Source organism: Homo sapiens, chromosome 7 (assembly GCF_000001405.40).
Source record: "Homo sapiens chromosome 7, GRCh38.p14 Primary Assembly".
NCBI classification, from domain to species: Eukaryota; Metazoa; Chordata; class Mammalia; order Primates; family Hominidae; genus Homo; species Homo sapiens.
In genome coordinates this window covers 70640389-70652511 of record NC_000007.14, presented here as the reverse complement: position 1 = coordinate 70652511, position 12123 = coordinate 70640389, and the positions used below count along the sequence as shown (strand labels likewise).

At 45.7% G+C, this 12123-nt stretch overlaps 1 protein-coding gene across 26 annotated transcripts in view, besides 2 other annotated features; it reads right to left on the bottom strand.

Moving 5' to 3' along the window:
* AUTS2 (activator of transcription and developmental regulator AUTS2) overlaps window positions 1–12123 on the bottom strand; it is a 1195032-nt gene that overhangs the window by 140995 nt on the left and 1041914 nt on the right. The gene's annotated exons all lie outside the window — the stretch shown is intronic.
* Window positions 4007–4056: an enhancer, noted in NCBI's record as "active region_26110". NCBI's record gives its function as "activates an Ori minimal core promoter by ATAC-STARR-seq in GM12878 lymphoblastoid cells {active_cell/tissue: GM12878}" and the evidence as "EXISTENCE:reporter gene assay evidence [ECO:0000049][PMID:35858748]".
* Window positions 5280–5779: an enhancer, noted in NCBI's record as "H3K4me1 hESC enhancer chr7:70111719-70112218 (GRCh37/hg19 assembly coordinates)". NCBI's record gives its function as "activates a minimal SCP1, AML or CMV promoter by ChIP-STARR-seq in primed H9 embryonic stem cells {active_cell/tissue: H9 hESC(primed)}" and the evidence as "EXISTENCE:reporter gene assay evidence [ECO:0000049][PMID:30033119]".

Here is a 12123-nt window from a genome sequence, read left to right as displayed (position 1 = left end):
CATTTACTTAGGTACTTGATCTTTAGCAGAAATGATGATCTGAGACTTTATACCCATGAACTCCTTGTGTCTAGATAATGTCAATTCTTTTCCCTCTAACTGCCAAGTAAATTCCATTTTTACACTTTAAATGGCATAAATTGTCTAACCCTAAAAAAAAAATGGCAGAAGTACTTTTGCTGGTGTTAAGTAGGACGAATCAAATAGAGAAGAAGGAAGGCAGGGTATTATGCTGTGGCTTAATTCTGTTTAGTAAACACTTTATACTGCAGAGTAATGAAAGACTTCTCAGTATTCATCTCAAAATGAAGGTGGTTTGGTGTATTGGTTACTGCTATTCTCTGTGGATTCCTACTTTGTAAAACATGAGGAGTTGAAGGCAGTCAACTACCACTTAGTCACTCATAAATAAATGGCTCTTGCAGCTTTCCAAATAGACACAGTAATATACATGGGATTAGAGCAACGTGCAACCGTGACGGCGTGTGCAATGTATGATGTGATCATAATCCGGTGATGTCTTCACTGCTTACAGACACATAGAAACATCCCTCACCTTCAAAATGGAGGCGCCAAAGTCTGAGGGCCTTTGGTGTTCAATGTTGGGGTATTCTTTTTCTGTGCATTTCTGTGCGTGTGTTTGCCAGTGTTTTCTGGGATCCAGATGACCAGCCCCAGTTCCAAATACTTCTGAATTCAGTGAAAACTTTCCCTACCTTTTATCTCACTATTTTGCCTATAAATCCTCCCTTCAGCTAAATCAACATACAGATGGTCCCTAACTTCCGATGGCTCAGCTTACGATTTTTCGACTTTATGCTGGTATGAAAGCAATATGCACTCAGTAGAAACTGCACTTCAGGTACCCATACAACCATCTTGTTTTTCACTTTCAGTACAGTATTCAATAAATTACATGAGATCCTCAACACTTTATTATGAAACAGGCTTATGTTAGTTGATTCTGCCCGATGGTAGGCTAATGTAAGTGTTTTGAGCGTGTTTAAGGGGGGCTGGGCTAAGCTACAATGCTCAGTAGGTTAAGTGTATTAAATGCATTTTTGACTTAAAATATTTTCCACGTATGAAGGGTTTATCGGGATGTAACCCCAATGTAAGTTAAGGAACACCTGTACAGAAGTCGCCTCACAAAACCCTGGGTTTCCCAGTTTCGTGAGTTTGCTACAGTAAATGAGGCTGAGCACCAGAGAGGGGGCAGGCTATGAAGCCACATTACCTGGGTCCAGCTTTACCATTTACTAACTCTAGGGCACTGGGTACCTTATTTAACTTCTTTGTATGTCATGATCCTTATCTATATAGCGGAAATAATGAGAAGACAATAATCCCATCTCATAATAGCTTTTGTGAGGATGAAATAAGTTAAGACATGTAAAGTGCTTAGAACTTTATCTCAAACAGCAAGTGCTCAATAACTGTAGTTGATCATTACTCATATCAGCAAGTGCTCATAACTGTAATGTTGATCATTACTATCAACATTATCTTCATCCCATTCGGACTTCCTCCTCCTTCCTCTCTGTCCATTGAAATCATTCTCTTGGGCCTCAGCCATGCCCTCAACGTGATCCTTTCTTCCCCTGATTTGAACTCTGGTCATCAATCAATTAGTTGGCACTATTAATTTATGTCTAACTGTCATGGGTACAGGAACAGTTTTTTCATCTAGCCTGGAAACTTCTTGAGACAAGGGTGTAGATGTGTTTGCTTTGCGTGTAAAATGAATCTGATAAAATTGACAGTTAATGGTCACAGAAGTTCACTGGAGATATGTAGAGGTAAATGTATGTACTTCTCAATTTTAAACAACATTCTTGGTAGCAATCAACGAGATACTAGTTTCAAGTGAAATGCACAATTGTTGTATGTCTGACTTCACACATTTGAAAGTAAAAATAATTCCAGGAAGAAAGCTGAGTGGGGATGAGAGTCACAGTAAGAGAAAAGAGATTCTAGTTCTAGATCTGCTCTTGACCAGCTCACATTCTTTGACATTCAGAGAGATTAAACCACATGCCTGATTCCTAAGTGCTAAGTCAGAATCAGTGACTTTAAGGTCCCAGACAGACCCTGTTGGTTGCCCAGGCAAGAGCCCTCAAGTTCACTGAACCCAGGTTTTGTTCAGGTACTGCATGGCGCCATGCTGTGGGCAGGTGGTCTTCCCCTGTTACAGGAGGCTCAGGCCACCCTTGGCAATCCCATTATTCTTGGACGGTGACTGTTTTAGGAGACGGTATGTAACCCAGTTCTGGCCAGTGAAACCTGAGGGGAAGTTTGCTATGGGGTCTCTAGAAAAGAATTTCCTCCTGATAAAAAGAGGTACGTGAGGAAGAACACCTTTCCTTCCTGTCTGTGAGTGTGGCTTCCTGAGGAAATAGTGTCTGATAACTATGGCGGCCATCTTGAAATCATGAGGAGAAAGCTAAGAGAATGGCAGAGAAGCCAATCCGTGCCCCAAAATACTTAACCAGTCCCATTTAGAAACACTACTCACACCCGCCCCCCTGCCATGGTTGAAGCCATTTTGTTCTGTTACTTGTGGCTGGAATGTCTTGGCTGTCCACATTCTAAGAACCCAAGCACCACATGATTGAGGCCCATTGTTAAGCTACAAGGAAATGTGGCACACAGATCATCTCTGCTGACCTACAAAATCACCACTGGGGCCGGGTGCGGTGGCTCACGCCTATAATCCCAGCACTTTGGACACCGAGGCGGGTGAATCACGAGGTCCAGAATTCAAGACCAGCCTGGCCAACATGGTGAAGGCCCATCTCTACTAAAAATACAAAAAATTAGCTGGGCATGGTGGTGGGCACCTGTAATCCTGGCTGCTTGGGAGGCTGAGGCAAGAAAATCGTTTGAACCCAGGAGGCAGAGGCTGCAGCAAGCCAAGATCGCACTACTGCACTCCAGCCCGGGTGACAGTGCGAGACTCCGTCTCAAAAAATAAATAAATAAATAAATAAATAAATAAATAAATAAATAAAATAAATCACCACTGGGACACTCTGAGATTAAATCCTGACCCCCATGTCCCACCACTTATGTTTCTATTAACCATTGTTTATTCATCTTACTTTTTTATTTTTTTTGAGACAGGGTCTCACTCTGCCAGGCCAGAGTGCAGGGGCATGATCTTGGCTCATTGCCACCTCCACCTCCTGCGGTCCAGTAATCCTTCCACCTCAAACACCCAAGTAGCTGAGACCACAGACATGCTCCATGGGGTTTCGTGATGTTGCCCAGGCTGGTCTCAAACTTCTAATCTAAAGGTCTCAAACTTCTAATCTAAAGGTCTCAAACTTCTGAGCTAAAGCAATCCACCTGCCTCAGCCTCCAAAGTGCTGGGATTACAGGCATGAGCCACCATATCCAGCCTATTCTTCTTATTTTGACATGTCAGCTTCTTTCCGTAAGCTGAGGTTGACATATATAATCAGAGACTTAGGTCAATAGGAAAAGGCATTCCCTAATTTCAAAACAGATCTAAACTCTCTAATTTCCTCAAAAGAGATCTCCTAATCTTTCATCTACTGGGATTATTTTAATAAACTCATTTTAGCACCCTGTTACTATGAACTCTTAACAAAGGTTCCTTCCAGGGCTGGGCGCGGTGGCTCATATCTGTAATCTCAGCATTTTAGGAGGCCAAGGCAGGCAGATCATTTGAGGTAAGGAGTTCGAGACCAGCTTGGCCAACATGGTGAAGCCCTGTCTCTACCAAAAATTTAAAAAAAAATTAGCTGAGCGTGGTAGTGCATGCCTGCAATCCCAGCTACTTGGGAGGCTGAGACAGGAGAATTGCTTGAAAGGGGGAGGCGGAGGTCGCAGTGAGCCAAGATTACGCCACTGCACTCCAGCCTGGGTGACAAAGTGAGACTGTCTCAAAAAACAAAACGAAACAAAACAAAAAACCAAAAACCAAAACAAATTCTGTTTTGTTTTTATATCGTGTTTCTACATCTAAACATGCTACTAGGTTGTGCTTCATGATATGAATGTATAAATTCAAGATCATGAAACTCTCATTGGTGCAGACATATACAACACAGAACTGCAAACTCACCACAGATGCTCCCACGCCTGTCCCTGAAAGCACCATGGCAAGCCTCAGCCCATTCCTCTCCCTCGTGCTGCAGATGAGAAAGCTGAAGTCCAGAGGCGTGAAAGGTGTTGGTGAAGGTGACTCAGTGAGCTGACGGCATCACAGAATGCAGGAAACTGTGGTAGTCTGGTGGTGGAGGGGGGCGGAGTACTATGACACTAGCTGTAACCACAGCAGCTCACATTCATCCTGGGCCTAGGACAGCACAGGAACAATTCTAGACTCTTCATGTGTTTTAGTTCATGGAACCCTCACCAGAACCCTGAAGAGGTAAGTACTATCATTATTCCCATGTTATAAATGAGAAACCGAGGCAAAGAAAGGTTCGGTACCTGCCCAAGGCTAAGCAATGCTGAGTGTACATGCCGTCATCACTCAGCTATTTCCAGTCTCCTACCACTACATCAGGCCATGGGGTGACATTTCCTGAATGGATACTCTTGGTAGGTCAGTGGCTTAAACTGAGATGAAACTAATCAGTACAATGGACTTCTTAGATCTACAATCCTGTCTTTAGCCAGAGCACACTGGATGGTCTGAGTTCCAAAGAAAGGCCACTGTTTCATTCCAAAATGTGCGCATGCAGTCCTTGTACCACGTATGCCACCTGCCTCCCTGGCATGCTAGCTTCAGGGAATAGGGAGGCTGAGAGAGGGTGGTGGGCAGAAGAGGGGTTGAGAGACAGGTATGATACCCAGTTGGCAGTCTCCTCTGGTTACCAAAGTGCAAGTCCCAGAAAACACATCACACAGGAGACGAGCCAGGGTGTGACCCAGGATGCCTTGTCTCAGTTTGTGGGGAGATTAAGGGAGAAGGCATTATAAAGGCCAGCATCATTTTCAAGAAACCATCACTTTATTTCTTGCTTAAAAGCAGAGCTGGCCAAGTTAAGATAGCTGTTTTTTCTGGATTATATTGTGTTTCAAAGCAAACCACTCCTCACAGGGACTCAGGCTACAAAGCACAGAGAGCTGGAATGGCCTTTACCGGTCATCTTGTCCAGGCACATTCAGGGCTTGCAGAGCGAAGTGGGCTGAGGCCTAGAGAAGTTCAGTGCTCATCCCAGCTCCCACGGCCCCCAGAGCCGTCCAGCGTTTCTCACTGTGTCTAGTGTTTTTCGCTGTGTGGATAAGAATGAGAGGAAAAACTCTCCATCCTGGAGTAGAGGGGAAACGTGGAATGGGCACAGATTTGAGTTTGGGCTCCTTTATATCAGCTCAGGGGGACCAGAACGCATTCTCCAACATGGAACACAAGTCAACAGTGAGCGGATCCAATCAGCTGCTGAACAAAACAAACTTCTCTCCTGGGTCTTGTCTGACTTCTGCTGGGAGAATGTCCAAGACTGAGCAATGCTGGGCTAAAGACCTTGCAGCTCAGCCCAGACACAGAGGTGGCAGGATCAGCCCTGAGTTTGAAACTGCTCAGCCAGCCTGGAATGATGAGCAGCAAGGCCAGAGCAGAACAGCATCCAAAATGGGCAAAGGTAGGGAACTGGCAAGGCCCTCCTCTGATCAGATTGTTCAACAGCCTCTGAGCTGGCTGGCCCGGTCCTGGCCCCAGCTTCTGGGCCAGCCCTGCTGCCCTGAGCCAGGGCCCTCGCACTAGAGCGGGCCTTGAGCAGCCGCCTTGCATGGCCTAGATCTCCTGGCACTGCATCGGAGTCAATCTTGCCTACAGCTGTCAGCGGCACAGTCTGTTCGATGCCGCACAAATGGCAATGATTCAGTCATTCCGGGGATGCTTCCAGGGCAGTGTTCTTGGGCATAAAGAAAAAGAGAATCCCCTTGGGGGGCCAGAGGCGGTGGGCTCCCCTCCAGCGGGCTGGCTCATCCCCATCTAAACACCATCAAAAGCCTGCCAGGGTGTTTTTGTTGCAACCTGGCAGTTGAATGGCCTCTGACATTTGACTTGGGACCGTCCAGGTGACCTATTAAGTGAGATGCACGCTTGACGGCTGACCTTAGTGGATGTGACGGCAAGCTCACTGCTGCTCTAAATAATAAAAATTCTTCCTGACATGACGGAGGCAGAGAGGGAAATGGCCCCTCTGGTGAAACCCCATGGACTCTGCCTTAACCTCACTGCAGAGGGCTGCTGATGCAAAGGCTGATATTTGCCTGCAATCTTTCCCTGGGAAGTAATTAGTTTCCATTTAGAGGGATGACAAATTGATCAGGCAGGAGTCGCACTGAGCTCTGAATTGAAGCTCAACTGTGATGGCTGTGGCTCTGGCAAGTCAGGTTTGTAGGTCTGTCGATGCATTTTACAGTTTCAAAATTCAATCACCCAACAGCAGGAGAGGAAAGACACTGCTCTGAAAAGAGAACCAAAGCCTGCATTTCCTTCTGCAAGTTCATTATCGCCTCGCTAAAGCATGACGGTGGTGTGAAATGGGTTAGACGCACGGATGCCTCTGTTAACGGCCAAAGAAAAAAAAGTCGCACATCATTAGGAATGGAATAAACGATACTGAGGCACACAGCAGAAATGATTTGATTAGTAATTTCCAGTTTTGAAAAGACCTGGAAAAGTACCAAATGACTATACAGAAGGTGTGATGGAGTTCTTAATTGCTGTAACTGCTCTGGGAGACTTGATGATTTGTGACATAGAATACAGCACAGTACGCTAACACTAATAACCGTTAATTAAATGCAGCAATGATATACTCTCAAAATGCACATACAAGTTACCATAATTTCCAGATTAAAAGCTGCGCTGTCAGAAGCCAAAGGCAAAGAAAGGTGGAGGGAAGGCAAGATACATCTCTTGCCTTCGTGAGCAGGCCCCATGGTCTGCCCAGAACAGAGCGGCCAGAAAACTCTATGGGAAAAAACCACACTTAGCTGGAAAATGTGAAACGGTTCCTGAATGAAGCTGCCCCTCTGGAGGGAGAGTTATTAATTCTGAAAGGCTGCTGCAGCACCAGACCATCTGGTGGTGTGGAGAGAGTTCAGTGGCTGGTGCAGCTTCCGGTTGGATCTGCTCTGCCCCACCGTGACACTTCTCACGTGAACTGTTGTGATGCCAGGTCAGAAATGTTTGGCGGGGAATGAGGGAAGAGAGGGGTCTGGGGAGATCCAGGGACTCTGCAGAGTTTTAGATGCTCTCCTTTTCATGTCCAGCTCCTAATGAATGAGGGGAGGTTGGGAGGGCTGAGGGGGCGGGAGGGTGGGAGCGATTCACATGAAAGCCTCATTTGAATGGAAGATAAAAGAAGTCAATTAATCTCCCTCCCTTTGGGTGAAGAACGCTTGTGAGCCTGAAGGAAGATGAAGGAAATGCTACTAGTATTTCCAACTCAATTATCTTGGTAATAGCACAGAAAGAAAGCTGGGATAAACAGAGAAACCCAGAGATCATTCCAATACTCCATTTTAGGCCATGGCCTTTCCTTTCTCCTTTTGCTCTGATTCAACAGTAAAGCCACCAGCGTTTAGGAAATACCAGAGGCCCGCCTCTTGGAGAGGTCAAGGAGCAGGAGAAACACTTCTGGGCCATCCTTCACCCAAGGTCTACTACGCATTTGCTGGACTACAGAGTTGGGCCAGGTGAGGAATATACAAGGGTGAGATGCCACAAGGGTTATGCAGCACTTCTGGGGATAAATGTTTCTGGAATGAGGAGGAAGAGGGCACTTTCAAAGGGGATGATTCTGGAAGGCTTCATGGAGGAGGTGGAAATGGAAGCAAACGTTGAATGAATTACAGGATCTGGCATGAGGCAAACACACAAGAAGGGCATTTGCTGGAAGGTAGGAGGGGTGGGGGTGAATAGCACAAATAAGTGCCCCAGGGGAGGCAAGTGAAATGTCAGCAGAGAGACCTGGGAGAAGTCAGGTCAGTCTGGGTGCGAGACGATGTGTGGAAAAGGGTGTGGGAGACAGTTCGTGGAGAGCGCAGAATGGCAGTCAAACGTGGCTGCTGTTGACCCCGCGAGGGAAGTGATAGAGTCGGGACTGTGTTTTAGGATGGTTAAAGCACAAGAACGTGCAGTTCCCTCTGTTTGGAATGCTCTTCCCTCTAGGTATCTGCTCAAAATTTTCCTAAATAGCAAGTCTTCCCTGACGACTCCCTCTCCATCACCACTCCTCCGTCCCTTCAACCATTTATAAATGCTAACCATTGTTAGCATGTATCACTTACACATCACATTATAGATGAATTTATTCTTTGTTTGTTCCCTCCACAACCTTTTCAATAGATGACCTTGTTTTCTTCATTGTTGAATTCCAGAACTTGACACTGGTACTCAATAACTACTTGTTGAATGAGCCAATTGATGGATGGGAAAAATCAACGGAAGCAGTAGTTCCCAAAGTGTCGTCTAGACCAGCAGCCTCAGCATCACCAAGGAACTGGTCAGGAAAGCAAATTCTCAGGCCGTACCCCAGGTCTACTGCAGCACAGATATGGTAGGTGGGGCGAGCCAGGACGTCATAGCAGAGGCTGTCTTGGTGGAAAGGGAGGGATGGACTGAGCCAGTCTTTTGAGAGGTAAAATACATAGCACTCAGCAAAGGAAGAGTCTGGGGAGACTTGCTGATGTGGGGCTTTGGTAACTGGCTGAATTGTGGGTATGGGAATACAGGAACAGGTTTGGACAGGGTTGGGGAAAGAGAGAGATCAGAGATGATACATTCAATTAGTACATGATAATAAAGTTTGTTTCTTTGATTTAAAAGGCAGTCTAGAAAAATTCCCAGAGACCTGTCTTAGGATCCACTTAAAAATCAGAAAATCAGCAGAGGACACAGAGGTTGAGGAAAGATAACTTAGGTTTGTCACACTTTTACTTTATTTTATTTTTTTTAGACGGAGTCTCGCTCTGTTGCCAGACTGGAGTGCAGTGGCGTAATCCCAGCTCACTGCAACCTCAGCCTCCTAGGTTCAAGCGATTCTCCTCCTGCAGCCTCCTGGGTAGCTGGGATTACAGGCACGCACCACCATGCCCAGCTAATTTTTGTATTTTTAGTAGAGACGGGGTTTCACCCTGTTGGCCAGGATGGTCTCGATCTCTTGACTTCATGATCTGCCCACCTCGGCCTCCCAGAGTGCTGGGATTACGGGCGTGAGCCACCACGCCTGGCCTAGATTAGGCACATTTTTAATGTTCCGTGTCCACAAGACACCTGGCCATCTTGTTGGCTATGGAAAATATGGGTCCGAAGCTAAGGGCAAGACCTGGGATGGAGACATAGTCCAGTATCATTGTCATGCAAAAGTGGCGAGAGCCATCAGAGTGGACATAATCTTGGAATCTGTGGAGGCTGAGGAATCACTGAAAATGATCTGAGAATTGTTAGAGAGACAAAATGAAGATGAGGAGACGGGAATATCACAAAACCAAAAACATTTAAAAAATCAAAAATCAAGAAGGGTGGTCGTAACATTTCACATGCCCTTCAGGGTGGGCCTGATGAATGCAGGGACTCCTTCACCTGGCAAGTGGAAATGACTGAAGCTTCTATGAGGATGGGTCAGTGCCATCAACGGGCAGAGGCAAAGCCAGTTGCTGTGAAGGAATGACAAGTGAATGGGGTCAAGAGACAAGGAGCCAGAGGAAGATGCACGAGAAGGGGAGTTGACACGCATGTTTATGTGCTGACAGCGAGAGAGCTTAGAAGACAGAAGAGAAGTCACTGAGGAGGATGGAATGGAAGGAGATACTCAGATGCACAAAAAGTTGACCTGAGACAAGAGGAGTGATATGTCTTCCACTGAGAATGTAGGGAAGGAATGTCATCAGTATGGACACAGGGAAGTAGGTCAGTCAGGTTAAGGCTCGGCAAAGCTGAGGCTTGGATGGAGAATGCAACATAGTTCTTCTAAGACTTTACACCTGGTTGAGGACACAATTGGAAATAAATTCAAGGCAAACTCTAGGAAATGGTACAAAGTATTATGGGGTGAAACAAAGACCTAAAAGTGAAAAATAAAACTATGAAGCTAATAAAAGAACACGTGAAATGATATCTGTGCACGAAGGATAGAAAAAGACTTATTAAACCAGATACTCCCAGAACATTAAGTGAGGCCAAAATATGTATTTGTTTCACTATAGCAAAAGTAAAGATCTCTTAACATCAAGGTCACTACAGTTAGCTAATGGGCAACAGATTTGAAGAAGATACTTGAGTGTCCAAAATAATAGCCAATGACCCATAGTTAAATTATACCAAAAATGCAAATCAACAAGAAATCAGAAACTCAGAAAAATGGTCAACTCCTTATAATACTTTATACTATCAAGATGGCAAAAGCTAGAAAGGTGAATAACAGCAAGTGTGGGCAAGGACATCTGGAAATTAGAACTTACATGCACCGCAGGTAGATTGCAGAATTCCATAAATAGACACATTACAAGGATGGTTATGGTGACAGTGTGTGCTTGATTGTGGTGCTAATTTCATGGGAGAAGTTGAGGGCAACCTTAGCTATCTGATACTAGGGGAATGTGCACTATAGAATATTCGGTATTATTGAGAAGCAACAAACACATGTGCAACCACCAGCAAGGCCAGATTCTAAAAATGTTATGTGGAGTGACAAGAAACAGAACTAAGATTTATAGCATATCATCACTTATGTAAACAAAACACCCACACAGAAGAACACTATCTACTTGACAAGGTTACATATCAGGCACATGAGGCTGGGTGTCTGAGAATTGGGGAGCAGGCCAGGATAGTGGGGAAAACTAAGGGCGGCCTCCCATGGATCCAGGATGACAGTGTGTTCTGAACTAAGGAACCTGATTACCTTAGTTAACTTAGTTAACTGGTGAGCTCACAGATTTATGAAAGACCTATTTCTTTTTTCTTTTTTTTGAGATGGAGTCTCGCTCTGTTGCCCAGGCTGGAGTGCAGTGGTGCGATCTCCGCTCACTGCAAGCTCTGCCTCCCGGGTTCACGCCATTCTCCTGCCTCAGTCTCCCGAGTAGCTGGGACTACAGGTGCTGACCGCCATGCCCGGCTATTTTTTTTTTGTATTTTTAGTAGAGATGGGGTTTCACCGTGTTAGCCAGGATGGTCTTGATCTCCTGACCTTGTGATCCGCCTGCCTTGGCCTCCCAAAGTGCTGGGATTACAGGCATGAGCCACCGCGCCTGGCGAAAGACCTATTTCAAGTAGGGGTCTAGTGAGTCTTCCTGAAGGGTAGGGTTCATGGTGACTCTTCAAAGATGGGAATAGGACTTCAATTTACAAAGATAAAGAGTGTTCTGAGCCAGAGGAACAGCTTGAATGCAGATGGGAAAGTACTGAGCATAACTAGAAACATCTAATGGACCAGCATGGCTGGAGCCGGGTGGACTAGTGTGGCTGGAAGCTGGGTGAGGGATTAGACCAATGAGAGAGAAAAAGAAGCAACTGTGGATGACTTTGAATGGCAGGCCTGGGAGGTGAGAAATGATGTGGCCACACTGGCTGCCATGTGGAACGGGGGAGATCAGAAGCCCGGGAGGCTGGGAGATGAGACTGGAAGCTGCTGCAGGAATATGGGCAAGAAGGGATGACGGCGTGGGCTCTAGCAACGGAAAGCTGAGCTTTCAGGGCCTGCCTGGTGGACAGCAACAGAATTCTGAGGTAGCAGTGCTACGGCCCACATCACAGTTTAATGATGGCTTTCTCCAAAAACAAACTGTCATTGTGACCAGTGGAAAAGTGTGTTACTGTTCTAGGCCCACACTCCTAGCCAAGGGAACCAAGCCGTCTTTCAATCCCCGCCCACAAGCACCACTGGTATCAATGAAAGCCCCTGTGTCTCAGTTGGTCTCTTACACACTTACACACACACACACACACACACCATTAGTTCTGAGCTAATCACAGAAGTAAACAGTATGTTATTCTAGTGCATCCTGGGATGTCTGCGCTGACTTCCAGTTTCTATTAGCCTAGCATGCCAGTCCCCTGACCTCATGCAGGATTTTTTATGGTTTTTTTTTTTTTTTTTTTTTCCCCCTGTGAGTTTATTTTTCAGAGGTTGGTTC